Here is a 26,440-nt window from a genome sequence, read left to right on the forward strand (position 1 = left end):
GTCCTCCACTGAGTCCTGCCGGTGGCCCGAGCCCGGTGGCCTCCCGGCGACCCTCGGCGCGAGGCGACATGGCAAGCGGCCACAGCCTCCTGCTGGAGAACGCGCAGCAAGTGGTGCTGGTGTGCGCCCGCGGCGAGCGCTTCCTGGCGCGGGATGCGCTGCGCAGCCTGGCGGTGCTGGAAGGCGCCAGCCTGGTGGTGGGCAAGTAAGTGGCCGGGCGCGCAGGGTGGGGACCGCCACGGGCGGAGCTGGCCGCTCTTCCTCTCACTGTGCACTCTGGAGGGAAACAACGCCGTGAAAGCGTCCCTGCACAGAGATACACGGGCAAGCCAGCCTTTGGGGTACCTGTTGCTAACACGCTCTGCTGCTTGGGGTTGTCATTCCGTCCAAAGAGCTCAGAGAGGAACACCCCATTGGAACGCATCAGGGTCCTGCCTCTGCTGGTAAAATATCACTGTCCAACCATCAGAAGGGGTTGAGGTCCTCCCCAGTGCTTCTTAAAGGGAGGCCAGAAGACCACCTTTGTCAGGGTGGCCTGTGGTTATTTTATTCTTACGGCAGATTTCTGATTCCACCTGCGTCCCCCACTCCCTATCCCTAGAATTTTAGAATCAGCATCACTGGGGCTGGAGTTCTGAGACCTGAATTTTTCAAAAGTACCTTTCACATCCTCGTGATCTCGTACACTAAAGCTTTAGAACCACGGAGAACATTTAGACGATAATGGCCCTGAGTGATAATAAATCAAGATTTGACCATCAGAAAACAAGATATTTCTCTTACTCATCTGAGCTTCCTGCCAGATATGAATAAAAGAACAAAGTTTGAGGGCGACCTGGGGTAGCAAGGGAAGTTGGATGAGAATTTGAATCCAAAGCGTGCCATGGGACCACAATTGCACACGATCAATGAGTCTCACAAACTGACCACGGCTTATCTGAGGCAGTTTAGGGTTGTGCAAGAGCCCAGCTTTTAAGGGACTGTGGGTTGGTTTAATTTTATTTATTTATTTATTTATTTATTTATTTATTTATTTATTTATTTTTGAGACGCATGAGCCACTGCGCCCAGCCTATTTTTTGTTTTTTTGAGACAGGGTCTAGCTCTGTTGCCCAGGTTGGAGTGCAGTGGCATGATCTTGGCTCCACCTCCCAGGCTCAACTGCGATCTCCACCTCCCAGGCTCAAGCCATCCTCCCACCTCAGCTTGACAAGCAGCTGGGACTACAGGTGCACGCCACCACGCCAGGCTAATTTTTGTATTTTTTGTAGAGACAATGTCTCACTGTGTTGCCCAGGCTGGTCTTGAACTCCTGGGCTCAAGCCATCCACCTGGTTTGGCCTCCCAGTGCTGAGATTACAGGCGTGAACCACCACGCCCAGCTTGACTGGTTTATTTTTAATTAAGGGATGAAAACATTCCCAATTTACTATGAAAATATTATTTAAAATTTTGCTTAGAAAGTTGAAAAATATGTACCTGGGTTGGGACTGGAGTATCTTATAAAAATTATATCAATGCGACCAGGCACAGTGACTCACGCCTGCAATCCCAGCACTTTGGGAAGCTGAGGCAGGTGGATCACCTGAGGTTGGGAGCTCGAGATCAGCCTGGCCAACATGATGAAACCCCATCTCTACTAAAAATACAAACATTAGCCGGGCATGGCGGCGCACGTCTGTAATCCCAGCTACTCGGGAGGCTGAGGCAGGAGAATCGCTTGAACCCGGGAGGCGGAGGTTGCAGTGAGCTGAGATCTCGCCACTGCACTCCAGCCTGGGTGACAGAGCGAGACTCTGTCTCAAAAATAAATAAATAAATACATAAATAAAATGATACTAATGCACCAACATGAAGTCCTGGGTTCCAAGACATGTTCTATGTTCACATCAAAACCACAAAAAGTAGGGAAAGGAAAAGGAGGGAGCTGACTTGTGGTCTGGAAGATGGGGCTTTTTCATTTGAGTCTGCTACATTGTTCTCACAGTTTGTTGGATTTATTACAATGAAATAAATTTACAAGAATATTGAGAACTTTGCCATTCAAATATGATTAGCTCGGTACAGGATGGTGTTGTTTTTATTTTCACTTACTATCATCACTGTCTTATATATTAGGTTGGTGCAAAAATCAAGTATAGAATTGGAATAATTATCTGGTTATTTGAGATGCTTTGAAATATATCTCCCACCTCATTATCTGAATGTTTTAAGGTAAAAGTGTTTTCAGGGTGAATTATTTAGGTGATTGTCTTAAATTTTCACATCACTTCCCTTATGCAGAACCTGTGTGTTCAAGGACAACTTAATCCTGCTCTTCTTTTGGTAGACAAGAAGAACACAGGCTGTGAGTGTGAGTGTGTATAGGGAGAGGGGTACTGATTAAAAGCACAGAGAAGTGGAAGAAAGTTCCATTTCAAAGCCCAGAATTGGATGGATTTTAACAGTGTGTGTTTTTTTTTTTCCCAACAAGTATATACATACCATGGTGTGTCCTGATTAGAATGAATCTCAGTAAGATCAACTAATAGTTAATCCCCTATATGCTATAGATATATAAAATGAGTCCTGGAAAAGAATATGGTTTGAGGGACACCAGAAACTCCCCCTTCCTAAAAATAAATATCTCAGTGATTGTCTGCCATAGGGTGTAAATTCCACCATTGTGTTCATTCATTTAGGTCTCTAAAGGTATCTCATTCTTAAATTAAGTTCTCTCTCTCTTTCTCTCTGTGTGTGTGTGTGTGTGTGTGTGTGTGTGTAGATTGCAGTTAATCTTGAAGAGGCTCCCAGGTGTGGAAAAGAAGCACAAACTGTCATCCAGTTGACAATTGTCCCATCCAAAGGCTAAAACCTAGATGAAAATGTCTAAATGAACAAAACAAACAGGAATTAAAATATAGATTCATACACAAGGACCATTTGTTTTAGCACTTCAGAGGAGGGGCAAAAATGGAAAATGTTGAAGGAAAAATTGGTGGGTGTTATATTTTCCTTCCTAGAAGCCAATTAAACTGTCAGGTGGACAATGAACCTAAAATAGGACATTTTCATTCATTCACAAATATGTGCTGAGTAGTTAGATTGTGCTCAGCGTAGAGGATGCAAAAATGACTAAGACTGGTTCAGACCTCAAAGAGCTCAAAGTCTACTGGGAAACAAGACACATGAAAAGATAATTATAATACAATATGGTAAGCACAAAGGTAGAGAGATGTGTGCATGCAGGCTTATTATAAGAGACTGCTCCCCCTCCCCCTCCCCCTCCCCCTCCCCCTCCCCCTCCCCCTCCCCCTCCCCCTCCCCCTCCCTCTCCCTCTCCCCACGGTCTCCCTCTCATGCGGAGCCGAAGCTGGACTGTACTGCTGCCATCTCGGCTCACTGCAACCTCCCTGCCTGATTCTCCTGCCTCAGTCTGCCGAATGCCTGTGATTGCAGGCACGCGCCGCCACGCCTGACTGGTTTTGGTGGAGACGGGGTTTCGCTGTGTTGGCCGGGCCGGTCTCCAGCCCCTAACCGCGAGTGATCCGCCAACCTCGGCCTCCCGAGGTGCCGGGATTGCAGACGGAGTCTCGTTCACTCAGTGCTCAATGGTGCCCAGGCTGGAGTGCAGTGGCGTGATCTCGGCTCACTACAACCTACACCTCCCAGCCGCCTGCCTTGGCCTCCCAAAGTGCCGAGATTGCAGCCTCTGCCCGGCCGCCACCCCGTCTGGGAAGTGAGGAGTGTCTCTGCCTGGCCGCCCATCGTCTGGGATGTGAGGAGCCCCTCTGCCTGGCTGCCCAGTCTGGAAAGTGAGGAGCGTCTCTGCCCGGCCGCCATCCCATCTAGGAAGTGAGGAGCGCCTCTTCCCAGCCGCCATCACATCTAGGAAGTGAAGAGCCTCTCTGCCCGGCCGCCCATCGTCTGAGATGTGGGGAGCGCCTCTGCCCCGCCGCCCCATCTGGGATGTGAGGAGCGCCTCTGCCCGGCCGAGACCCCGTCTGGGAGGTGAGGAGCGTCTCTGCCCGGCCGCCCCGTCTGAGAAGTGAGGAGACCCTCTGCCTGGCAACCACCCCGTCTGAGAAGTGAGGAGCCCCTCCGCCCGGCAGCTGCCCCGTCTGAGAAGTGAGGAGCCTCTCCGCCCGGCAGCCACCCCATCTGGGAAGTGAGGAGCGTCTCCGACCGGCAGCCACCCCGTCCGGGAGGGAGGTGGGGGGGGTCAGCCCCCTGCCCGGCCAGCCGCCCCATCCGGGAGGGAGGTGGGGGGTCAGCCCCCCCGCCCGGACAGCCGTGCCGTCCAGGAGGGAGGTGGGGGGGTCAGCCCCCCGCCCGGCCAGCCGCCCCGTCCGGGAGGTGAGGGGCGCCTCTGCCCGGCCAGCCACCCCGTCCGGGAGGGAGATGGGGGGGTCAGCCCCCCCACCCGGCCAGCCGCCCCGTCCGGGAGGGAGGTGGGGGGGTCAGCCCCCCGCCTGGCCAGCCGCCCCGTCCGGGAGGGAGGTGGGGGGGTCAGCGCCCCGCCCGGCCAGCCGCCCCGTCTGGGAGGTGAGGGGCGCCTCTGCCCGGCCGCCCCTACTGGGAAGTGAGGAGCCCCTCTGCCCGGCCAGCCGCCCCATCCGGGAGGGAGGTGGGGGGGTCAGCCCCCCGCCCGGCCAGCCGCCCTGTCCGGGAGGGAGGTGGGGGGGTCAGCCCCCCGCCCGGCCAGCCGCCCTGTCCGGGAGGGAGGTGGGGGGGTCAGCCCTCCGCCCGGCCAGCCGCCCCGTCTGGGAGTTGAGGGGCGCCTCTGCCCGGCCGCCCCTACTGGGAAGTGAGGAGCCCCTCTGCCCGGCCAGCCGCCCCGTCCGGGAGGGAGGTGGGGGGGTCGGCCCCCCGCCCGGCCAGCCGCCCCATCCGGGAGGGAGGTGGGGGGGTCAGCCCCCCGCCCGGCCAGCCGCCCTGTCCAGGAGGGAGGTGGGGGTGTCAGCCCCACGCCCGGCCAGCCGCCTCGTCCGGGAGGGAGGTGGGGGGGTCAGCCCCCCACCCGGCCAGCCGCCCCGTCTGGGAGGGAGGTGGGGGGGGGTCAGCCCCCCTGCCCGGCCAGTGGCCCCGTCCGGGAGGTGAGGGGCGCCTCTGCCCGGCCGCCCCTACTGGGAAGTGAGGAGCCCCTCTGCCCGGCCAGCCGCCCCGTCCGGGAGGGAGGTGGGGGTGTCAGCCCCCCGCCCGGCCAGCTGCCCCGTCCGGGAGGGAGGTGGGGGGGGGGTCAGCCCCCACCGCCCAGCCAGCCGACCCGTCCGGGAGGTGAGGGGCGCCTCTGCCCAGCCACCACCCCGTCTGGGAGGTGTGCCCAACAGCTCATTGAGAACGGGCCAGGATGACAATGGCGGCTTTGTGGAATAGAAAGGCGGGAAAGGCGGGGAAAAGATTGAGAAATCGGATGGTTGCCGTGTCTGTGTGGAAAGAAGTAGACATGGGAGACTTTTCATTTTGTTCTGCACTAAGAAAAATTCCTCTGTCTTGGGATCCTGTTGATCTGTGACCTTACCCCCAACCCTGTGCTCTCTGAAACATGTGCTGTGTCCACTCAGGGTTAAATGGATTAAGGGCGGTGCAAGATGTGCTTTGTTAAACAGATGCTTGAAGGCAGCATGCTCGTTAAGAGTCATCACCAATCCCTAATCTCAAGTAATCAGGGACACAAACACTGCGGAAGGCCGCAGGGTCCTCTGCCTAGGAAAACCAGAGACCTTTGTTCACTTGTTTATCTGCTGACCTTCCCTCCACTATTGTCCCATGACCCTGCCAAATCCCCCTCTGTGAGAAACACCCAAGAATTATCAATAAAAAAATAAATTAAAAAAAAAAAAAAAAAAAGAAAAAAAAAAAAAAAAAAGAGACTGCACAGAGGGGTGCCTGAACCAATGGGAGGATCGGGAGAGGTGTCAGATTTATCTACTATAAAACAAGACCAATTTTTAGGTTTTAGAAACTGAGACAGTGTATGTGCCAATTCTAAATTTTCACAAAGCACCCTGAGAGCCACTCAAAGAAGCATCATCCTCCTTAAATCATCATCATTACTGTTTTCATTATAATTATACTTTAGCTCCTAAAGTAGGGTCTTGCTTGCTAATTTGCTTTACTTTCAGAAGACTCTGCAGAATTTTTCTTCCTAAATTTCTCAGAATACAAAGTAAATAAAACCACATGTGCCTATTATTTGTATCCCCTAAAAAAGTATATGTGATATACGTTCATTGTAGGAAAAGAAAATACAGATGAACAAAAAGGAAAAAGTCACTCAAACCCCATCATTAGGTGAACTAATACCAACATTTAGTGCTTCTGCTTTCAGATGTTTTCCTATGCAAATAGAATCACATAAAAATGCATGCTTTAGAAAAGGAAGCTATGCATATTGTTTTGTATTCGGGTTTTTTCACTTAGTCATAAATAGTGAAAATCTCACCATAGCAGTAATATGTATCTTTGTAATTTTAATGACTACCTTAAAAAAACACTTTTGGGGGAATGCTTTTTGTTGGTTTCCTTCAATAACTGCCCTCATTATGTCCTCAACAAAGGAACATAAGCCTTTGTTCAAACATAGGTACATCCACAGATGAATGAGAGAACCACACTGTTGAAAGGTAGATAAGCATGGGATTAGTGGGGTCAGGAAGAGGACCCAGTGCCCTCAAAATTCACCTCCTGCACAGACGGAGAATGTTAGAGATTTATTTCTTAGGTTTGACTTTGTTAAAACAACCTCTCTTAAAGCAGTGTCAGTCATTAACTCTTTGCATAAGAGCATTCTCTTTGTTCTTTCCCATTCAAGGGTCAATTTCTAATCCTGCCGGTCCTTTCCACCACCAGATTCACTGCACACTGGGTAGATTATCTAACTGGGCCAGATAAAAGCTGTTAGTGATGAAGAATTGTCTTAATCAGGATACTAAATTCTATTTCAAGACTTAATTTCTTATTCCACCCTAAGTTTATCCTCCCCAAATCTCCCACAATCATTATTTCTTTTCCTATCATAACATCTTCTCTTTCCATCCAGTTTCTTCTGCTCTTCCACTCTTACATTTTGTTAGGTTACCCCAACCACTTCTGTCCCAGTTCGGAATCCCTTATCCTAATTGCTTTTCACAACACATTCCAGCTCTCAGGTTTATAGCCCTCAATCTCCATGTTGGAAATACGAATTTGTTGTAAGTGACCAAGACCTAAATTAATAGTGGCTGAAACAAGATGGAAGTATATTTCTCTCCTATGTGAAAATCCAGACATACGAATGCAGGGCTAGTTGATTGCAATACTCCATGGGGTCCTTAGGAGCCAGGCCCCTGCTGCCTTGCTCTCCCATGCATGGCCCACTTTCTTACACTCACTCCATGACCCAAGATGGCCACCCCATCTCTAGTTGTGGTGTCTGCATTCCAGCCAGTAAGAATAGGAAGAGAAGACAATCTTACCGGCTAGACCTTAGTCTCATAGCCACACCTGGCTAGTGGGAGGTGGGGAAATGTAGTCTGTATTTTGGGTCATCATGTGTCCAGCTAAAATTTAGGGCTCTACTAGTGTAAAAAAGGGAACATTGATCTTGGGGAACAAATGGCAATTGTCTGCTACATATATTTGACGTTTAAAGTTTTTTTAATTGTAAATTTTCATGGGTACATATATATGGGGTACATGAGTTATTTTAAACAGTCGTACAATGTGTAATAATTATATCAGGGTAAATGGGGTTTCCATCATCTCAAGCATTCATCATTTCCTGGTGTTACAAACATTCCAATCGTACTCCCTCAGTTATTCTAAAATGTGCAACATATTATTGCTGATTGTAGTCACCCTGTTGTGATATCAAATACTGGGTCTTATTCACTGTATCTAACCATATTTTTCTAGCCATTAACAATCCCCATTTTTCTCCTCTCCCCTTCTATTCTTCCCAGCCTCTGGTAACCATCATTTTACTCTCTATCTCCATGAGCTCAATTGTTTTCATTTTTAGCTCCCACAAATGAATGAGAATATGCCAAGTTTGTCTTTCTGTGCCTGGCTTATTTCACTTAACATAATGTCCTCCAGTTCTATCCATGTTGTTGCAATTGACAGAATCTCACTCTTTTTTATGGCTGAATAGTACTCCATTGTGTGTATGTATTACATTTTCTTTATCCATTCATTTGTGGGTGGGCACTTAGTGTACTTCCAAATCTTGGCTATTGTGAATAGTGCTGCAATTAACATGGGATGCAGACATCTCTTTAATATACTGACTTCCTTTCTTTTGCATATAGATCTACCAGTGGGATTGCTGGATCATATGGTAGCTCTATTTTTAGTTTTTGAGGAACTTTCATACTCTCCATAGTGGCTGTACTGATTTACATTTCTAACAGTGTACAAGGGTTCCTCTTTCTCCACATTCTTGCCAGCATTTTTTATTGCCTGTCTTTTGGATAAAAGCCATTTTAACTGGGGTAAGATGATCTCTCATTGTGGTTTTGTTTGCATTTCTCTGAAGATCATTGATGTTGAGCACCTTTTCATATACCTGTTTGCCATTTGTATCTCTTCTTTTGAAAAATGTCTATTCAGATCTTTTGTCCATTTCTTAATCAGATTATTAGGTTTTTTCCTATTGAGCTGTTTGAGCTCCTTATATATTCTGGTTTTTAATCCCTTGTCAATTAGATAGTGTGCAAATTATTTTCTCCCATTCTGTGGGTTGTTTCTTCACATTGTTGATTATTTTCTTTGCTGTACAGAAGGCTTTTACCTTGAAGTGATCCCATTTGTCCATTTTTGGCTTGGTTGCCTGTTCTTGTGGGGTATCCCTCAAGAAATTGTTGCCTGAACCAATGTCCTAGAGAGTTTTCCCAAGGTCTTCTTTGAGTAGTTTCATAGTTTAAGTTCTTAGATTTCAGTCTTTAACCCATTTAGATTTGATTTCATTCTTTTGCATATGGATAGCCAGTTTCCCTAGCACCATTTATTGAAGAGACTGTCTTTTCCCCAATGTACGTTCTTGGCATCTTTGCTGAAAATGAGTTCACTGTAGATGTATGGACTTATTTCTGGGTTCACTATTCTGTTCCACTGGTCTATGTGTCTGTTTTTTATGCCAGTACCATGCTCTTTTGGTTACTATAGTTCTGTAGTATAATTTGAAGTCAGGTAATGTGATTCCTCCAGTTTTGTTCATTTTGCTGAGGAGGCTTTGGCTAATCTGGGTCTTTTATGGTTGCCTCGAATGTGGCTAGAGACGCTTTTCCAGACTCAGGTTCAAGATAGAAGCACAGTAAATGTTGACTAATTAACACCAAAGAATCTGAAAACATATTTTAAGTCACTCATCAGATTTCTCACAAGATTTCCCCAAATTTAATAACTATTTCTTGATTTTTCTTCAGAGATGGATTTATAAAAGCTATTGGTCCTGCTGATGTTATTCAAAGACAGTTTTCTGGAGAAACTTTTGAAGAAATAATTGACTGCTCTGGGAAATGTATTCTACCAGGTATTTACCTCTTTTTCAGTAAAGGTCTACAAGTAGCTTTAACAGTTGCTCCTGAAATGTAAAGAGGAAGAGTAACAGCTTATTTTAAAGTCTCAAAATAATATTTAAAAAAAATCATCGTTCCATGTATTGAATTTCTATTATTGAATGTATAGCTGCTTTCAAACATGGTTTCACCTTGAATCCTTATAACTGCCCTGTGTGGGAGGTATCATTATCTATACTTTACAGATTAGAAAATTGAAGCTAAGGGTGAAATATGTTACCCAAGGTTCCTAAACAGGAAACAGACAACCTAGGAATCAAGCCCATTCATTCGACTCCACTTCTTCCCACTCACATGCTGAATAGAAACCAGCTGTGTTGTGTTTAGGTTCAAAAACAGTCAAAAGAACTTTATTAATCCATGGCATAGGAGAGGCTAACAAGGCAGCTGCTGTCTCTAATACTAGAAATACTCTAAATTTGTATAGGATGTGAAACAAAGGATCCAGCTCTGGGCAGAAAAAGAAAAACAAAAATCCTAGAGCTTTCACTGCAGTTCACTTGTATCTTTGATGATTGACAACAGAATCAGTTTATTAACCATCATCTCCTACATTATGTTGTATGGCTTCATATAATCATCCAAAACAAGTTTCACAAACTTTCAGTTCTACACAAACAAAAGGGCTTCATATTTATATTTTTTTATATAAAATTTTTATACTTTTAAATATTTATTGTACACATCTGACAGAGCTTCTAACTGATGGGTTTTCATTTGTTTGTTTATTTTGAGACAGTCTCACTGTGTCACCAAGGCTGGAGGGCAGTGGTGTGATCTTGGCTCACTGCAACCTCCACCTCCCAGGTTCAAGCAATTCTTTTGCCTCAGTCTCCTAAGTAGCTGGATTACAGGCATGCACCATCATGCCTGGCTAATTTTTGTATTTTTAGTAGCAACAGGGTTTCACCATGTTGGTCAGGCTGGTCTCAAACTCCTGATCTCAAGCGATCTGCTGATCTCGGTCTCCCAAAGTGCTGGTATTATAGGCATGAGCCACCACGCCCGGCCTTCCTTATGATTCTTGAGAGTCAGGAGACAAAGTCAGGGTGAAATGTTATGAAAAAGAGGAATATAGCAGAAAGCAATCTGAGTAGGCGCTTTTGATTTTAGTCCAATCAGAGCCAATAATGAGTCATTTAATCCATAAGGTATCTAAAACATTTTGGAAAGACACACTTTACTGAATTGTACCTGGATAAACAAAAGTTTCAAGTGATTGCTTTACAGTTTCTCCTTAATTAAAATACATTTCTTTCTTGAAAATAGATTAATCTTTCTGATTTCACATTTTCCCTTCTCAGAGTTGCAGGGGGAGGGGATTGTAGTATTGTTTTCATATCCAGATTATTCCTTGTGATAAGGTTCATGGTTTTGCCAACTAGGGGGCTTGACAACCTAATTTCAAAGCTTATTTGGGCCAGGAGTAGTGGCTGATGCTTGTAATCCCAGCACTTTGGGAGGCTGAGTCAGGCAGATCATTGGAGGCTGAGGCAGGCAGATCGTTTAAGCCCAGGAGTTCAAGACCAACCTGGGCAACATGGCAAATTTTAGCTTGTGTGGTGGTGCATGACTATAGTCCCAGCTACTAGGGAGGCTGAGGTGGGAGGATTGCTTGAGCCTGGGAGGTCAAGGCTGTAGGGAGCTGTGAGTGTGCCACTGCACTCCAGCCTGGGCGACAGAGTGAGAACCTTTCTCAAAAATAAATAAAATAAAATAAAATAAAATAAAATAAAATAAAAGCTTATTTGGTGAGCATGGACTTACTGAGCAAAAGGAGCTGTATTTCTGTAAGGGATATTTTCATCATGTTGCATCACCTCCTTCATTAGAGCTTTCTAGACCAACCATACAACAGGGCAGTCTTCTTTTCTCTCTATCAAGGGAACCAGACAGACAAATTCTTCCTTTCATGCTCCTCCAAAATGGATGGCCACCATCACACTTTCCCCAGAGCAGCAGGGTATAGTGCTGCTGTTTGCCTGCTGTCTAAGTGCTCTCTATTTCTTAATTGTAAGATAACTTGATTTATTGATTATAGGTTTGGTGGATGCACACACACATCCAGTATGGGCTGGTGAAAGAGTTCACGAATTTGCAATGAAGGTAACTGCAACAAATCATGGCAAATCAAAATAAAGCACAAATATGAAGTCTTTTGCTGAAGAGTTAGTAGGCTATCAAGCTTTGCAACATATGTCAACATATTTTTTAATGGATATTTTTACTTGCTTGGGTATGGGAAACAAATGACAACAAAACTTATTTATAACTGCCCCAAATCATTGTATTATACACAGGGCTATTCCTGCCCACTAATGTCTCCCTCTCTTTCCTTCCCCACATTCCCATTCCAAATCGCTATCTCTAGTAGCTTTTGAAAGGGCTCCAAGGAATAGTTTGAAAATTGCCATTCATTGGAGTAAAGCTTGGAAAAATATGTTACTAATCACAAAAATAAAATACCTTAATTTTTCTGTTATAAACTGAGACTTATTAAGAATCACAAAATGTAAGCTGTGTTAGTCCTATATTAGCTGTAACCAACTCCTAAATCCCTGGTTGGAGAGATTTTCACATGTGTTTTTTAAAAAAGAAAAAAAAAGATGTGCCTCCTAGCAGCTAAACTGGCTTATTTCAGGAAAAGAAAAAAAAAATTCTTTTCTTCAGCTATCATGTACCTGCTTCAACAAACTAGAGCTGTTTTTAAGATTGTTTTATTAAATCACAGAATTTCAGAGCCAAAAGCAGTCCAATCCTCTCATTGTATAGACGGAGAAAGAGATTTACAGTCCAATCCTCTCATTATGTAGATGGAGAAAGCTGGGTCTAGAGAAGGGAAGAGTGTTGACTAGCGTCACCAGCTGGAGGATGGCAGAACCCAGATGAAAACTCCGGCCAGGAGACCCCAGGCCTGCATCCTTTCTCTGCACCACACTCCTTGCTGCCCAGAGTAACTGGAGCCCAGTGGGACCCTAGAAAGAGCCTCTTTGAGTGACAAAGATCAAGCTCCAAACTCGGATGGCCAAATATTGAGACAAGGAAACTTCCTGGGGCCGCTTTAGTGGAGATCTGAATAATTGCAATGGGGTTCCCTGCAACTCCTGAATTGCCTAAGCTTTGTTTTCTCAAACAAGCTGAGGGATGGAGGGAGGGCTGATACTTAGCAAGTACACATTGCGGGTTGATTGACTTGTTAAAATATTGCAATACTCCTGTGCCAGTTTTGTTTTGTTTTGTTTGTTTGTTTGTTTTTTGAGATAGAGTCTCGCTCTGTCACCCAGGCTGGAGTGCAGTGGTGCGATCTCAGCTCCCTGCAACCTCCGCCTCCCGGGTTCAAGTGATTCTCCTGTCTCAGCCTCCAGAGTAGCTGGGGCTACAGGCGTGTGCCACCATGCCCCCGCTAATTTTTGTATTTTTAGTAGAGATGGGGTTTCACCATATTGGTCAGGCTGTTCTTGAACTCCTGACCTCGTGATCTGCCCACCTAGGCCTCCCAAAGTATTGGGATTACAGGCGTGAGCCACCGCGCCAGGCCTCACTGCCCTAAGATCCCAACAGGCCACCCACCACATCTCCCATCTCTACCACTCCAGTCTCTTCCCAAGACCCCTTCGGAGCTCCCCACAATCCAGTGTCTGGCAGACTAGGGGCTTCCAGGACTGTGTATCCCAGCACCTTTCTAATCTGATGGGTTGGTGCCCATGCCATATGGCTTCTTAATCATTATATAATATTGCCCCTGGAAGTAGATTCTTCAGACCTCCCTGCAACTTCCTGGCATGTGCTGGCCTAAAGGTGAGGCGTGTGTTCAGTTGGCAGGAGCCACCTACATGGAAATTCACCAGGCCGGAGGAGGGATCCACTTTACCGTGGAGCGCACGCGCCAAGCCACAGAGGAGGAGCTGTTCCGCTCCTTGCAGCAACGGCTCCAGTGCATGATGAGGGCTGGCACCACGCTGGTGGAGTGCAAGAGTGGATATGGCCTCGACCTGGAGACCGAGCTCAAGATGCTGCGCGTGATTGAGCGCGCCCGGCGGGAGCTGGACATCGGCATCTCGGCTACCTACTGCGGGGCTCATTCAGTGCCTAAGTAATCTCAGCCAGTGGGGGCCCGGGTTTAACTCAGAGCATTGAAAACGAACCCCGGGGGTGGAGGCGCATTAGCACTTTAGCTCTTGCAGGGAGATGGATAGAAGTCTTTGGAAAGACCTGATTCTAATGGCCACTCATCCCGCAGACTCGGTTTTAGGAAGGCGATCCCTTAGCCTCATCAGTCTGCTAGTCCTTTAATTATGATAGAAGAGATGTTTCAAGCTCTTTGGGTTAAGACAAAGAAATGGCTCCGTGTAGGTCGTTTAAAATTACACATATTAATTTGAATAATTTCCCATGATAATTAATTAGCATTTCTAAAAGCACTTTAGAAGTTAATAGTAATGCTCTTTAAGAGGTAGCTCAAACCTTGTGGTCTAGGTGACTCAAAGGGGTTCGTTTTTGTTCATCTGCTTGCTTTCTTAACAGCAAACATTTTTGTTTTGTTGTTGTAAATGATTTTTAGCCTTCCCCTTTATCTAAAAGTTCCTCCTACATGGCCTTACTGTAGAGAACTCTGTTCCTTTCTGTACTTGCATTTTATTTGTCCAGAGTTCCTTTTGGTCCTGGAATTTCTAAATAGGAAGGCTCATGGTTCCAACAGCCAACTGAACTATCTAAAAGAAATCCAGGACTTGAACATGCATAAGGTGCCTCCAAAGTCTTAGTGTGGTCTTAAACATTGATAACTTAAATAGATAAATATAATACTACAGACTTACAATCATTATTTAAAAATTTAATTGTTTAAATTTCTTTTACATTTATCTGATTTTGTAAACTTCGGAATATAAATTCCGTTTTTAGGCCAGGCATAGTGGCTCACACCTGTAATCCCAGCACTTTGGGAGGCCAAGGCAGGTGGATCGCTTGAGCTCAGGAGTTTGAGACCAACCTGGCCAACATGGTGAAACCCCATCTCTACTAAAAATACAAAAATTAGCGAGGCGTGGTGGCCCATGCCTGTAATCCCAGCTACTCAGGAGGCTGAGGCACGAGAATCGCTTAAGCCCGGGAGGCGGAGGTTGCAGTGAGCCGAGATTGTGCCACTGTACTCCAGCCTGGGCGACAGAGCAAAACTCTATCTCAAAAAATATATATATATTTTTTTAATTGACAAATAATATATTTATCATGTAGAGCATGTTGTTTTAAAATATGTATACCTTGTGAAATGGCTAAATCGAACTAATTAATATATGCATTACTTTACATACTTATCACTTTTTGTGGTGAGAACACTTAAAATCTATTTTTTAACAATTTTTAGGAAAACAATACATTACTATTAGCTATAGTCACTTTTTAATGGAAAAATATAAATATTTAATATCAATAAAAATTAACTTCATGTTATCTTCAATCAGAGGAACTAAAAAAGTAACATTAAAATTTATTATTCAAAATTAACAAAACTAGTTGTGTAGAAAAGACATAAATATTTAATATTTCCAGTGATCTTTGTTGTAAGTTTTTAGCATTTATATTTCTGAAATTATTAAAGCTCAAAATTTCACTGAGACTCTTGAGACATTCTCTATAGAAAACAGTAGATTTTTTTTCAAACAGAATATAAAGTGTATAATAGTCTGTTTTCTTTTGCAGTAGAAAGGATAGTGTGGCATGGTGGAAAAGTCTCAGTTTGAAGTGATGCCAGACCTGGGTTTGAATCCAGCTTGGCTACTTCCAGCTGGGTGATTTTGAGGTCATGACTTAACTTTTCTGAACATGAATTACTCATCTGTGAAACAGAGCTAAATGCCACCCTATTCTATATGATTGTCTTGAGAATTAACAATAACTTGCGCAGGCAGGGCACGGTGGCACATACCTGTAATCCCAGCACTTTGGGGGGCCGAGGCGGGTGGATCACCTGAGGTCAGAAGTTTGAGACCAGCTTGATCAACATGGAGAAAGCCTGTCTCTACTAAAAATACAAAATTAGCTGGGCGTGGTGGCACATGCCTGTAATCCCAGCTACTTGGGAGGCTGAGGCAAGAGAATCACTTGAACCCGGGAGGTGGAAGTTGCGGTGAGCCGAGATCATGCCATTGCACTCCAGCCTGGGCAACAAGAGCGAAACTCTGTCTCAAAAAAGAAGAAAAAAAAAAGAAAAGAAAAAAAGAAAAAGAAATAACTTGCGTAAGTGCCTGTCTCTCATAGTCCACCTCTACCCACCTACCCAAATGGTTTTGCTGAGTGAGAGCCTTCTGTGTGCCAAATATAGGGCTGAAGTTTCACAGAAATTTTCTCCATCTGCCAATGAGCCTCTGAGGTCTGCATCTGGATTCCCATTGGTAAAGCCTGAGCTCAAATAACAGCTAAAGAGCATCTCCTAAGTTACGTGGCCACCATGTGGTAGAGCTCTGTGTCTACCAGACTCTAAAAGCCCAGGCTTTTCTAACATATAACTACTGCAGAACTTTATTTTATCTACTCTTCTTATTGTTAATTTTTTTTTAGAGACAGGGTCTTGCTCTGCTGCCCATGCTGGAGTGCAGTGGTGCAATCATAGCTCACTGCAGCCTCAAACTCCTGGGCTCAAGCAATCCTTTTGCCTCAGCCTCCCCAGTTGCTGGGATTATAGGCATGAGGTACCATGCCCAACTCCACCAGAATTTTAGAGAGAATTTCACAGCCTCCTACTATCCTCCTCCCCCATACCCCCAGATAGTGAGACAGAAAGCTAAGGCAGGTGCTTCAGGAAACATTGTGGAGGAAGAAAAAGGCAGGGTGATAGCTGGACTCAGGTAAGGGGACCACAGGTGGGTCATCAGGGGGAGTATCCAGGATGCCCTCTGAGTGTCCTTGACAGGAAGATTATGCTTTTTTTTTTTTTTTTTTTTTTTGAGGCGGAGTCTTGCTCTGTCGCCCAGGCTGGAGTGCAGTGGTGCGATCTCGGCTCACTGCAACCTCCGCCTCCCTGGCTCAAGCAATTCTCTTGCCTCAGCCTCCTGAGTAACTGGGATTACAGATGCATGCCACCATGCCCCGATACTTTTAGTAGAGACGGGGTTTTGCCATTTTGGCCAGGCTGGTCTCAAACTCCTGACCTCAAGTGATCTGCCCATCTCGGCCTCCCAAAGTGCTGGGATTACAGGCATGAGTCACTGTGCCTGGCCAAATTAAGCTTTTCAGCCAGGTAGCCTTGCTGGCATCCCCAAAGGTAACACAGGTATGCCAGAATGGATAAACCATTTGAGTCTCTGTGCATAGGGTCAGTGCATACAGAAGTCTTGTCAATACCTCCACTATGTAGACATGGCCCAATAGTTAAGAGCCCATAGTTGTAGCTTTGAGTCTTTCTCTACCTTTCTGAGGCTTGAAGTCATTTACCTCTACTGCTCCTCAGGTTCTTCAAGTGCCAGATTACCCTGTCTTTTTGTGTTTTGTTTTTAATATTTGCCCATGGCAATCTCATTTTCTTCCCCAGAGGAAAAACTGCTACTGAAGCTGCTGATGACATCATCAATAACCACCTCCCAAAGCTGAAGGAACTTGGCAGAAATGGGGAAATACACGTGGACAATATAGACGTATTTTGTGAGAAAGGTGTCTTTGATCTCGATTCCACCAGAAGGATTCTTCAACGTGGAAAAGATATAGGGTTACAGATTAACTTCCATGGGGATGAACTCCACCCGATGAAGGCTGCTGAGGTGTGGTTGACTTTTAGTTTTTCCCTCGTCAACATTCATTCTTGCACATTCATGCTATGGGAAACTTAATTAGTTTCTTCAAAGCCCTCTGAAAAGATATTGAATGGGGAAATTTGTTTGAACAATGTACAGATTGGTCTGGTTGAGACTTGAAAACCCTGACCTCTATTAAAAACTTACTTTTTTGCTGATGATTTACTTTCATTATCATCCACTGGTGATATTAGTATTAATAGCAAAAGAATTGGCTGGGCGCGGTAGCTCACACCTGTAATCCCAGCACTTTGGGAGGCCGAGGTGGGTTGATCACGAGGTCAGGAGTTTGAGACCAGCCTGGCTAACACGGTGAAACCCCATATCTACTAAAAATATAAAAAATTAGCGTGGTGGCACGCGCCTGTAATCCCAGCTACTCGGGAGGCTGAGGCAGGAGAATTGCTTGAACTGGGAGGCACAGGTTGCAGTGAGCCGAGATCATGCCACTGCACTCCAGCCTGGGGGACAGAGCAAGACTCCATCTCAAAAAAAAAAAGGAAAGAAAAGAAAAAGAATTACCTCAGTGATCTCTTTTACTAAATTTCTAAAGTATTTTGCTTGGCACACAAAGCCACACTAGCACAGTATATTAATTTCACTTGTACCTTTTCAGATCTTTCTGTGGCAGCATCCAAATCATTTTAGTGGAGCACACCAAAAATAGCCACAAGATGATTTTCAAATCCATATATCTTTGCTCAAATTAATTCACTTATTCATCCTTTCAACAAATATTTGAATGAATACTGTGTGCCAGGCACTGTTTTAGGCATTGAGAAATCAGCAGTAAGACAAAGTCCCTACAATCATGAGTCTAGGCTTCTCTCCTCTAAAGCCTGAGACCTAAATAAACAAGCCCTTGGGGCATAAATACAGACATAGATACCCCACCTGCATGCCTCTTAACTGGCTTATATCCAGCTTGATCTCTTCGTATTTCTTCCAAGTCTTGTCCCATTTTCTGCTTCAGTAAATGACGCCATCACCTGTCTGTCGCTTAAGTCAAAATCTTGGATATCATTTTGACTGCTGCCTCTCCCTCACCTACCGCATTTCATGCAAACACCAATTCCTCCCAATTCTCCCAAATAGCTCTAGATCCCCTTATCTCACCTCTGATCCATAAGATTCATAAAGTTTTCTGTTTCAGAAAATGTCTGAAGGATTTGTGTTTAAGAATAGTTTTTGAAGTAGCCCACTAGCTAATTTTCAAATGAGTGCCCATTACAAACCCTTTACCCATTTGGGGGATTGGGCTTACAACGGTTGGTTGGCAAGAAATCTTAATAATAAAACGCTGTTTCTCTTTATGGGAAAAACAATTTAGGCCATGCTCGGTGGCTCACGCCTGTAATCCTAGCACTTTTGGAGTCCGAGGCAGGCGGATCACGAGGTCAAGAGATCCAGACTATCCTGGCCAACATGGTGAAACCCCATCTCTACTAAAAATACAAAAGTTAGCTGGGCATGGTGGCACACGCCTGTGGCCCTAGCTGCTCGGGAGGCTGAGGTGGGAGAATTGCTTGAACCCAGGAGGCGGAGGTTGCAGTGAGCTGAGATTGCACTACTGCACCCAGCCTGGCTACAGAGCAAGACTCCGTCTCAAAAATAAAACAAACAAAGCAATTTAATGGAACTTCATGGATTCGTTGTTGCTATTTGTTAAATCTTTCCCTCTCTGCCCATTCTCCTTAGCTTGGGGCTGAACTGGGAGCGCAGGCAATCAGCCACCTGGAAGAAGTGAGTGATGAAGGCATCGTTGCCATGGCAACGGCCAGGTGCTCTGCCATCCTTCTGCCCACCACAGCCTACATGCTGAGGTAAGGTCGTTTCTCACCCCAGACCAAGAGCTGCAAGTACAAGCTGTGAAGACACAGACGTCCAAAGTGCCCAGACATTATTTCATTGCCCTTACAAATCCCTTAAAAATGCAGATGAAGAAAACTCAGCTAATGAAGATGCCAACCCTGGACTGATGTTCGTAAACGAATTTCTCTGAGGAAGGAACTTAGACCCAGATTGCCTTTGAGTGGCAGGATTATTGAGGAAGATGGTGCTTTCTTTTTCTTTTTCTTTTTTTTCATGGATTTTGGAATTTTTCAATTAAAAAGAATTACTATGCATTACTTTTATAATTAGTAAATAATGAAATAGGTGCTATACTTTTAAATATATGCATAAGATGTTAAAGATATTTAGCAGTATTCAGAATCTGCATGAGCTGTTTTCTAAAGGGATGTTAGTGGGTACCATAATTGCCATAAATCTTTATAAATCCTGGGGGTGGGAGGAAAGAGGAGACATATATTTTATAAAATCTCCCCAGATATTTTGCTGTATGCTGTCTATGAATTGAATATACTTAGTTCGTCTGTTATTACTGTTGCTCTGATTCTAACCAATATGAGATCTGAGGTCTTCTGACACTTCCCATTGTACCACTTACTTATATGATATCCAAGATTGTGGTCTGGGAGGCCAGCAGTCAAGAGGAAGTTTATCTTCTCTTAGGACTAGGTGCTTTCTGTGTAGCTAGGACATGTGGTCTTTTTCATGGGGAGTGATTCTGCAGTTAAGACAGTGGTTCTCAACCCCAGGGTAATTTTGTCCCTCAGGGGACATTTGGCAATGTCTCGAGACATTTCTAGTTGTCACAACTAGGGGATGCTACTGGCATCTAGTGGGTAGAGGCCAGGGTTGCTGCTAAACAGTCCTCATTGCACAGAACAGCTCCCAAAACAAAGAATTATCCAGCCCAAGACATGAATTGTACTGAGGTTAGGTAAGACCAGGCTCCAAGTAACTTTTAGAAGGGCGAAGAAAGGAATACTTCAGTGCTTTTCTCAAATCTACTATGATTTTATATGCACATGTATGATATTATACATTTTTATTATTATTACTATTCTCTTAAAGAGTAAACACAATGTAGACTATAATCAGGAAATATCAATAACGGTTCTTGGTATGACCAACGTCTTATACATTTCAAGTGTCATCAGTCTAAGTCATCAATCAATATTTGTCTCCACCACCCAAGAAATAAGTTTTTTGTTTTTTATTTTTTTGGAAAGAAAAGGCTTTCTTCGGCTGGGCACAGTGGCTCACGCCTGTAATCCCAGTACTTTTGGGAAGCCGAGGTGGGCAGATCACTTGAGGCCAAGAGTTCAAGACCAGACTGGCCAACATGGTTGAACTCCGTCTCTATTAAAATACAAATTTAGCTGGGCATGGTGGCGCGCGCCTGTAGTCCCAACTACTCGGGAGGCTGAGGCAGGAGAATCCCTTGAACCCAGGAGGGAGAGGTTGCAGGGAGCCAAGATCATACCTCTGCACTTCAGCCTGGGCAACAGAGTGAGTGAGATTCCATCTTAAAAAAAAAAAAAAAAAAGGCCTTTCTTTAACTAGTCTTGAATCTCTTGACATGGAGCAAAAGCCTAAGACTTTGTGGTACTGGAGGGCAATTCAGCATTAAAAGTCTGAACTTTGTTCCTATACCAGCGGAGGCTGTCATCTGCCATTGCCACAGACAGGTTTAGCCTCCTATTAGGACCACAGGGGCAGTCGAAGTGAAGGCCACACTCTGCTTTCTGGCTTCTCGTTTCTATATTTTTCTGATCTCTGCATCAGGAGAGACCAGCAGGGCCCCCTGCTCTCCCCTGAACCCTCTCTTGACTCTCATTTCCAGAATAACCATTGCCTTATGCTACTTAAGGGCTTGCTTTAATCATGTATTTTATGTAAATTTGCATGTAATATTTAAATGTATTCAGGAAATATTCACCTTGGTTTTTATGGAGTGCCCTAATACTTTTACAGCCTCACTTTTTCCTCTTTTACCCCTAAGTATTTATGGAAGGGGGGGAGGGCCATTCAAATGACTTGCAGGGACATTTGAAGCTGTACCCTTTCCTCACTCTCTGTCTCTGCTTCACTCACCTCCTCTCATACGTTGTTGAAAAACATTTTAAGTGGTCCTACAAATGATCGATCATAGACTGGGAGTGACTCTAGGATGAGAATTATCTCTGCTGGACTCTTTCTCTATTGCAGCTGTTATTCCCAAATTAAATCTGTCCTCATTGCTTTAACGAGCTTTTAGGCTTTGTTTATTTTTGATGTAACACTTTTGAGATATGTCTTAAAGAATAAAGAATATTTCACCAGGGAGGTCAAGGGGATGCCTAATCCAGGAAGAAGTATAAACATTTTACACACTAAATTCTTGGGCCTTCAAGATTTTAAAGGACCTACAGAGATGTTTGAGGCAAAAAAAAAAAAAAAAAAAAAAAGAGGGCAAAGGGAGAGATGTGAATAGGAAATTGCAAAATGGAAACTAATAAAAATAGCATATTGTGGCTGGGCACAGTGGCTCATGCCTGTAATCCCAGCACTTTGGGAGGCCAAGGTGGGTGGATCACCTGAGGTCAGGAGTTTGAGACCAGCCTGGCCACCATGGTGAAACCCCATCTCTACTAAAAATATAAAAATTACCTGGGCGTGGTGGTGGGTGCCTGTAGTCCCAACTACTCGGGAGGCTGAGGCAGGAGAATCGCTTGAACCCAGAAGGTAGAAGTTGGAGTGAGCCGAGATCGTGCCACTGCACTCCAGCCTGGGCAAGAGACAGAGATTCCATCTCAAAAAAAAAAAAAAAAAAAAAAGCATAGTGTAACCTCATTTATTATTTAATTTGGGAGTCACCAAAAAGCTTATTAAATTCCAAAACCATTTGTAAGTTATATTTTCCTCCCTTTGCAAGAATGCCTTAATATGTAAAAAGATGGATGAGATAAACAATCATTAATTAAATGTTAGTCATATCTAAGTAACTGCAAAAGCAGAATGATAAAAATCAGGAGTCCTTGGATTATATATGTAACTCTACCACTAATCATTTAATCTTGAGTTTCTGCTTCTTCTTCCAGAATATGAAGGCGTTGACTGTCTCAAGTTCTCTTCTGTTCTGAACAGCTATTCTACAAAAGCTCCCATTCTAGAGACTGACATATTTTTTTCCTCCCCTTAGACTGAAACAACCTCGAGCCAGGAAGATGTTAGATGAAGGAGTAATAGTTGCTCTGGGAAGTGATTTCAACCCCAATGCATATTGCTTTTCAATGGTAATTATTTTTTTCATGTACCTTTCTGAGCAGAGTATCTACCAAGCATATAAATAATTTAAAAATATTTCACTAGCTTTTAAAACAGTATAAAAAATCTAAAAATATTTTTCTGTGAAACAAGAAAAAAAGGGGTAGACAGCAGTGTAATTGGATTTTTCTGTCCCACATAAATGCCTGCAGGCATAGAGAGAGGAGAGAAGCTTCTACATGCATTATTTTCTGATTCAGCTTTGAGTATTGTAGTTTTACAGTAACCCATTTCCTTTCTCCAGAGAATAGCATAAACTCCAAGAGGTCTTAGTAAGTATGGAAGTGAACTTCATTGTGTGCAGTAAGTGGTCTTGAAAAGTTGTCAATAAATATTAAATACGCAATCCCTATAATAAAGTAATCTTTTCCAAAGTCTAAGAATCTTTATGTATAAACTTAGATTTTTCCCATTGCAACTGAGCCAATTCCTCCTATACCTTTAACTGCCTCTATTTGTTGTGCTGTGTTGAGAAATGTTTTAAATTGCAGTTGCCATATGTCACTTTCCTCCAACACTTTTCTCTTCCTGCCTTAGCCAATGGTCATGCATCTGGCCTGTGTAAACATGAGAATGTCCATGCCTGAGGCCTTGGCCGCTGCCACCATCAATGCAGCTTATGCACTGGGAAAGTCTCACACACACGGATCGTTGGAAGTTGGCAAACAGGGAGATCTCATTATCATCAATTCATCCCGGTGAGTGTGCTTCAACTTAGCTCTTTTATATTATGCCCACTGAAGTATGCAGATGAGGCCTAAATCCCTTTTCCACTAATTATTAGTGTCAGACTCTGTCTGGACTCAGACACTATCCAGTCCCCTCTATCTTGATCCCTTTCCAAAGAGCAAATCTACTGACAGACCCTAAACAACAGGGTAGACCAAGTTTTCAAGATCTCTTCATCTGTCTGGTATTTTTCGTAGATTTCCAGATTTCTGCTCTGTTTACCTGGACTTTGGCCGGGTTGTGCCCTCTGGCATGTGTTTGTGTTTTTCTGCTCGGCTTCTGATTTTCAACTTGCTCCCAACTCTGGCTTCTCACTTTGGTTCTGATTCATTCCCTCTCTGATTTCTCATGCCGACTGGCTCCCAAAAGCTTAAACTTAGTTTTCTTGTTCCTGGTGACTTATCACTCACCCACCCATAGTCTGTTGCCACCTGGGCCTCCAGTGTAATATTAGTCTGTTATCACACTGCTAATAAAGACATACCGAGACTGGGTAATTTATAAAGGAAAGAGGTTTAATCGACTCACAGTTCTACATGGCTGGGGAGGCCTCACAATCATGGCGGAAAGCAAAGGAGGAGCAATGTCATGTCTTAAATGGCAGCAGTCAAGAGAGCGTGTGCAGGGGAACTCCCATTCATAAAAACATCAAATCTTGTGAGATTTATTCACTATCATGAGAACAGCATGGGAAAGACCCACTCCCATGATTCAATTACCTCCCACTGGGTCCCTCCCACAATGTGGGAATTATGGAAGCTACAATTCAAAATGAGATTTGGGTGGGCACATAGCAGCAAACCATATCAGGGTTTTACTGTTCTAGACCTACAAGTTGTAAATCCTATGGCTACTTGACTCTTACGAGCCCATTGCAGCCCTTGGACCTCAAGTCCTCCAGAGACACCTGCTTTAAAATTCTCTCCATGATCAGAAACCACTCCCTGTATTGGATATAATGCTGATGGTGACATTTATGTATCATTTAATGAAGCAAATATTTTAAGATCAAGTACTTAAATGATATTATTAAACAATGTTTGATTTACCATAGACCAGTTAGTTATATACGGTTTTTTAGAAAGCCCAAATACCATTGACTGGGTGTAAATAAATGTGTAGGGAATGCATTTTAAAATTAGCATTTATTGATAAAGTAATAATTTTTACTTGCACACATTGAAGTAATATTTGTTGTTTTTTTTTTTTTTTCTAGATGGGAGCATTTGATTTACCAGTTCGGAGGCCATCATGAATTAATTGAATATGTTATAGCTAAAGGAAAACTCATCTATAAAACATGATAGATTTGAAAAGAGAAGACTTTTTGACTATATGAAATAAGTCAATATAGTTATATTAAAAGTTAAAACACCTTAATATTTACAAGAATTATATCACTTAAACCTAAATGTACTTCAATGTCTTTTTAAGTCACTCAAAAAACCCAAGGGATAGATTTATTTTCATTTAACACATGCATTTGACATATAAACAGGTAAACCTATTGTGATTAAAATCACAAAACATCCAATTAGTTCACAAATATTGGTTACAAATATTCTGTAGATTAATATGGTGGGGTATCACAAAAATGCCTTTGTGGGGAAAAGTAGGCTTGGCTTAAAATTTCCATTTTGTGTCTGTATTTCACATCTCAGTTTTTAAACTATATTTAGTGAACATTGAGGGATCGAAAGAAATCTAAGTGATACGCCCCAATGAAGCTAAAATATAGCCTTCTGTTAAGCAAATAGTATTTCCTTTCCCCAAGTAGTTCATTTTCTAGATGCTTGTCAAATGAATTAATGTCCTCTGATGAAGAGTGTCCTTCCGTTTCTAAGGTCTTCTCAATCTCAGCAATAGAGCTTCCCAGCAGCGTTCAAGACACATCATTTATACACAGGCACAGGGGCCTTCCTGAAATGGGTGCATTTTTACCAACTACAATCATGTAATTTTTTTGGAAATTTTTTAAAATTTTCGATTCTTTACATTACAATTGGGTGAAACACATTTTACAGCTCTCAATAAATGTTTGCTGTCGCTCTTATTGTTGTTGTTTCCTTTCAGCCTGGAAGTAGATCAGCAGCGTTGTCTATTAGAGTTTTTAGGAAATTACAAAATTATTTGTAAAGAGTCGATAATTATTTACATATAAATGGGTGTTTTTAAAAGCCATGTAAGTTGATTTGAAATCTTTTTAAGTGTTTCGATCATCTTTATAATCACAACTGCATTACCAAACTTGGTAAGAAATGATTTGAGAAGTAAAGATTAACTCTCCAAGTGATCACTAATTTCAGTTTAATAGAGCCTGAATGAATGAGGCTTTGCTGTAGTCAATATAAAGCAACTCAAAATGCCCCTCACTGGAAGGTTAAGGGTAACATTGCACATTGTTGTCATCATGAGAGGTGACAGCATGCTGGCAGTCCTCAGAGCCCTCGCTTGCTCTCGGCATCTCCTCTGCCTGGGCTCCCACTTTGGTGGCATTTGAGGAGCCCTTCAGCCCCCCTACTGCACTGTGGGAGCCCTTTTCTGGGCTGGCCAAGGCTGGAGCCCACTCCTTCAGCTTGCAGTGAGGTGTGGAGGGAGAGGCGTGAGCGGGAACAGGGGCTGCGTGCGGCGCTTGCGGGCCACCTGGAGTTCCGGGTGGGCGTGGGCTTAGCAGGCCCCGCACTCGGAGCAGCCGGCCAGCCCTGCTGGCCCCGGGCAGTGAGGGACTTAGCACGCGGGCCAGTGGCTGCGGAGGGTGTACTGAGTCCCCCAGCAGTGCTGGCCCACCAGCGCTGTGCTCGATTTCTCGCCGGGCCTTAGCTGCCTTCCCACGGGGCAGGGCTCGGGACCTGCAGCCCGCCATGCCTGAGCCTCCCACCCACTCCATGGGCTCCTGTGCGGCCCGAGCCTCCCTGACGAGCATCACCCCTGCTCCACGGCGCCCAGTCCCATCGACCACCCAAGGGCTGAGGAATGCGAGCCCATGGCGCAGGACTGGCAGGCAGCTCCACCTGCAGCCCCGGTGCGGGATCCACTAGGTGAAGCCAGCTGGGCTCCTGAGTCTGGTGGGGACTTGGAGAGTCTTTATATCTAGCTCAGGGATTGTAAATACACCAATCAGCACCCTGTGTTTAGCTCAAGGTTTGTGAGTGCACCAATCAACACTCTGTATCTAGCTGCTCTGGTGAGGACGTGGAGAGTCTTTTTTTTTTTTTTTTTCTGAGACGGAGT

At 44.3% G+C, this 26,440-nt stretch overlaps 1 protein-coding gene across 1 annotated transcript, besides 3 other annotated features; it reads left to right on the forward strand.

Annotated features, from left to right (window-relative positions):
* AMDHD1 (amidohydrolase domain containing 1) lies at positions 1-25,390 on the forward strand. Its single transcript, NM_152435.3, has 9 exons — positions 1-205; positions 9,387-9,493; positions 11,581-11,645; positions 13,355-13,632; positions 17,068-17,293; positions 19,025-19,149; positions 22,356-22,449; positions 23,018-23,178; positions 24,426-25,390. The coding sequence occupies exons 1-9, from the start codon at positions 69-71 to the stop codon at positions 24,511-24,513; spliced, it is 1,281 nt and encodes a 426-aa protein (NP_689648.2). The 5' UTR covers positions 1-68; the 3' UTR covers positions 24,514-25,390.
* Positions 13,020-13,533: an enhancer, noted in NCBI's record as "H3K4me1 hESC enhancer chr12:96350128-96350641 (GRCh37/hg19 assembly coordinates)". NCBI's record gives its function as "activates a minimal SCP1, AML or CMV promoter by ChIP-STARR-seq in naive H9 embryonic stem cells {active_cell/tissue: H9 hESC(naive)}" and the evidence as "EXISTENCE:reporter gene assay evidence [ECO:0000049][PMID:30033119]".
* Positions 13,534-14,046: an enhancer, noted in NCBI's record as "H3K4me1 hESC enhancer chr12:96350642-96351154 (GRCh37/hg19 assembly coordinates)". NCBI's record gives its function as "activates a minimal SCP1, AML or CMV promoter by ChIP-STARR-seq in naive H9 embryonic stem cells {active_cell/tissue: H9 hESC(naive)}" and the evidence as "EXISTENCE:reporter gene assay evidence [ECO:0000049][PMID:30033119]".
* Positions 22,822-23,306: an enhancer, noted in NCBI's record as "AMDHD1 eExon fragment used in the reporter construct". NCBI's record gives its function as "weakly activates a pGL4.23 vector minimal promoter by reporter assays in HepG2 cells" and the evidence as "EXISTENCE:reporter gene assay evidence [ECO:0000049][PMID:25340400]".
* Positions 25,391-26,440: the final 1,050 nt, after the last annotated feature.

This window comes from Homo sapiens, chromosome 12 (genome assembly GCF_000001405.40).
Source record: "Homo sapiens chromosome 12, GRCh38.p14 Primary Assembly".
Taxonomy (NCBI): domain Eukaryota; kingdom Metazoa; phylum Chordata; class Mammalia; order Primates; family Hominidae; genus Homo; species Homo sapiens.

What these genes read in the sequence shown, in the direction of transcription:
- AMDHD1 (NM_152435.3), top strand. Translation starts at nt 69, where the DNA reads ATGGCAAGCGGCCACAGCCTCCTGCTGGAGAACGCGCAGCAAGTGGTG. An exon ending in ACCCGATGAAGGCTGCTGAG is followed by an intron (nt 17,294 to 19,024) that starts GTGTGGTTGACT and finishes CATTCTCCTTAG; the next exon opens with CTTGGGGCTGAACTGGGAGC. An exon ending in ATTATCATCAATTCATCCCG is followed by an intron (nt 23,179 to 24,425) that starts GTGAGTGTGCTT and finishes TTTTTTTTCTAG; the next exon opens with ATGGGAGCATTTGATTTACC.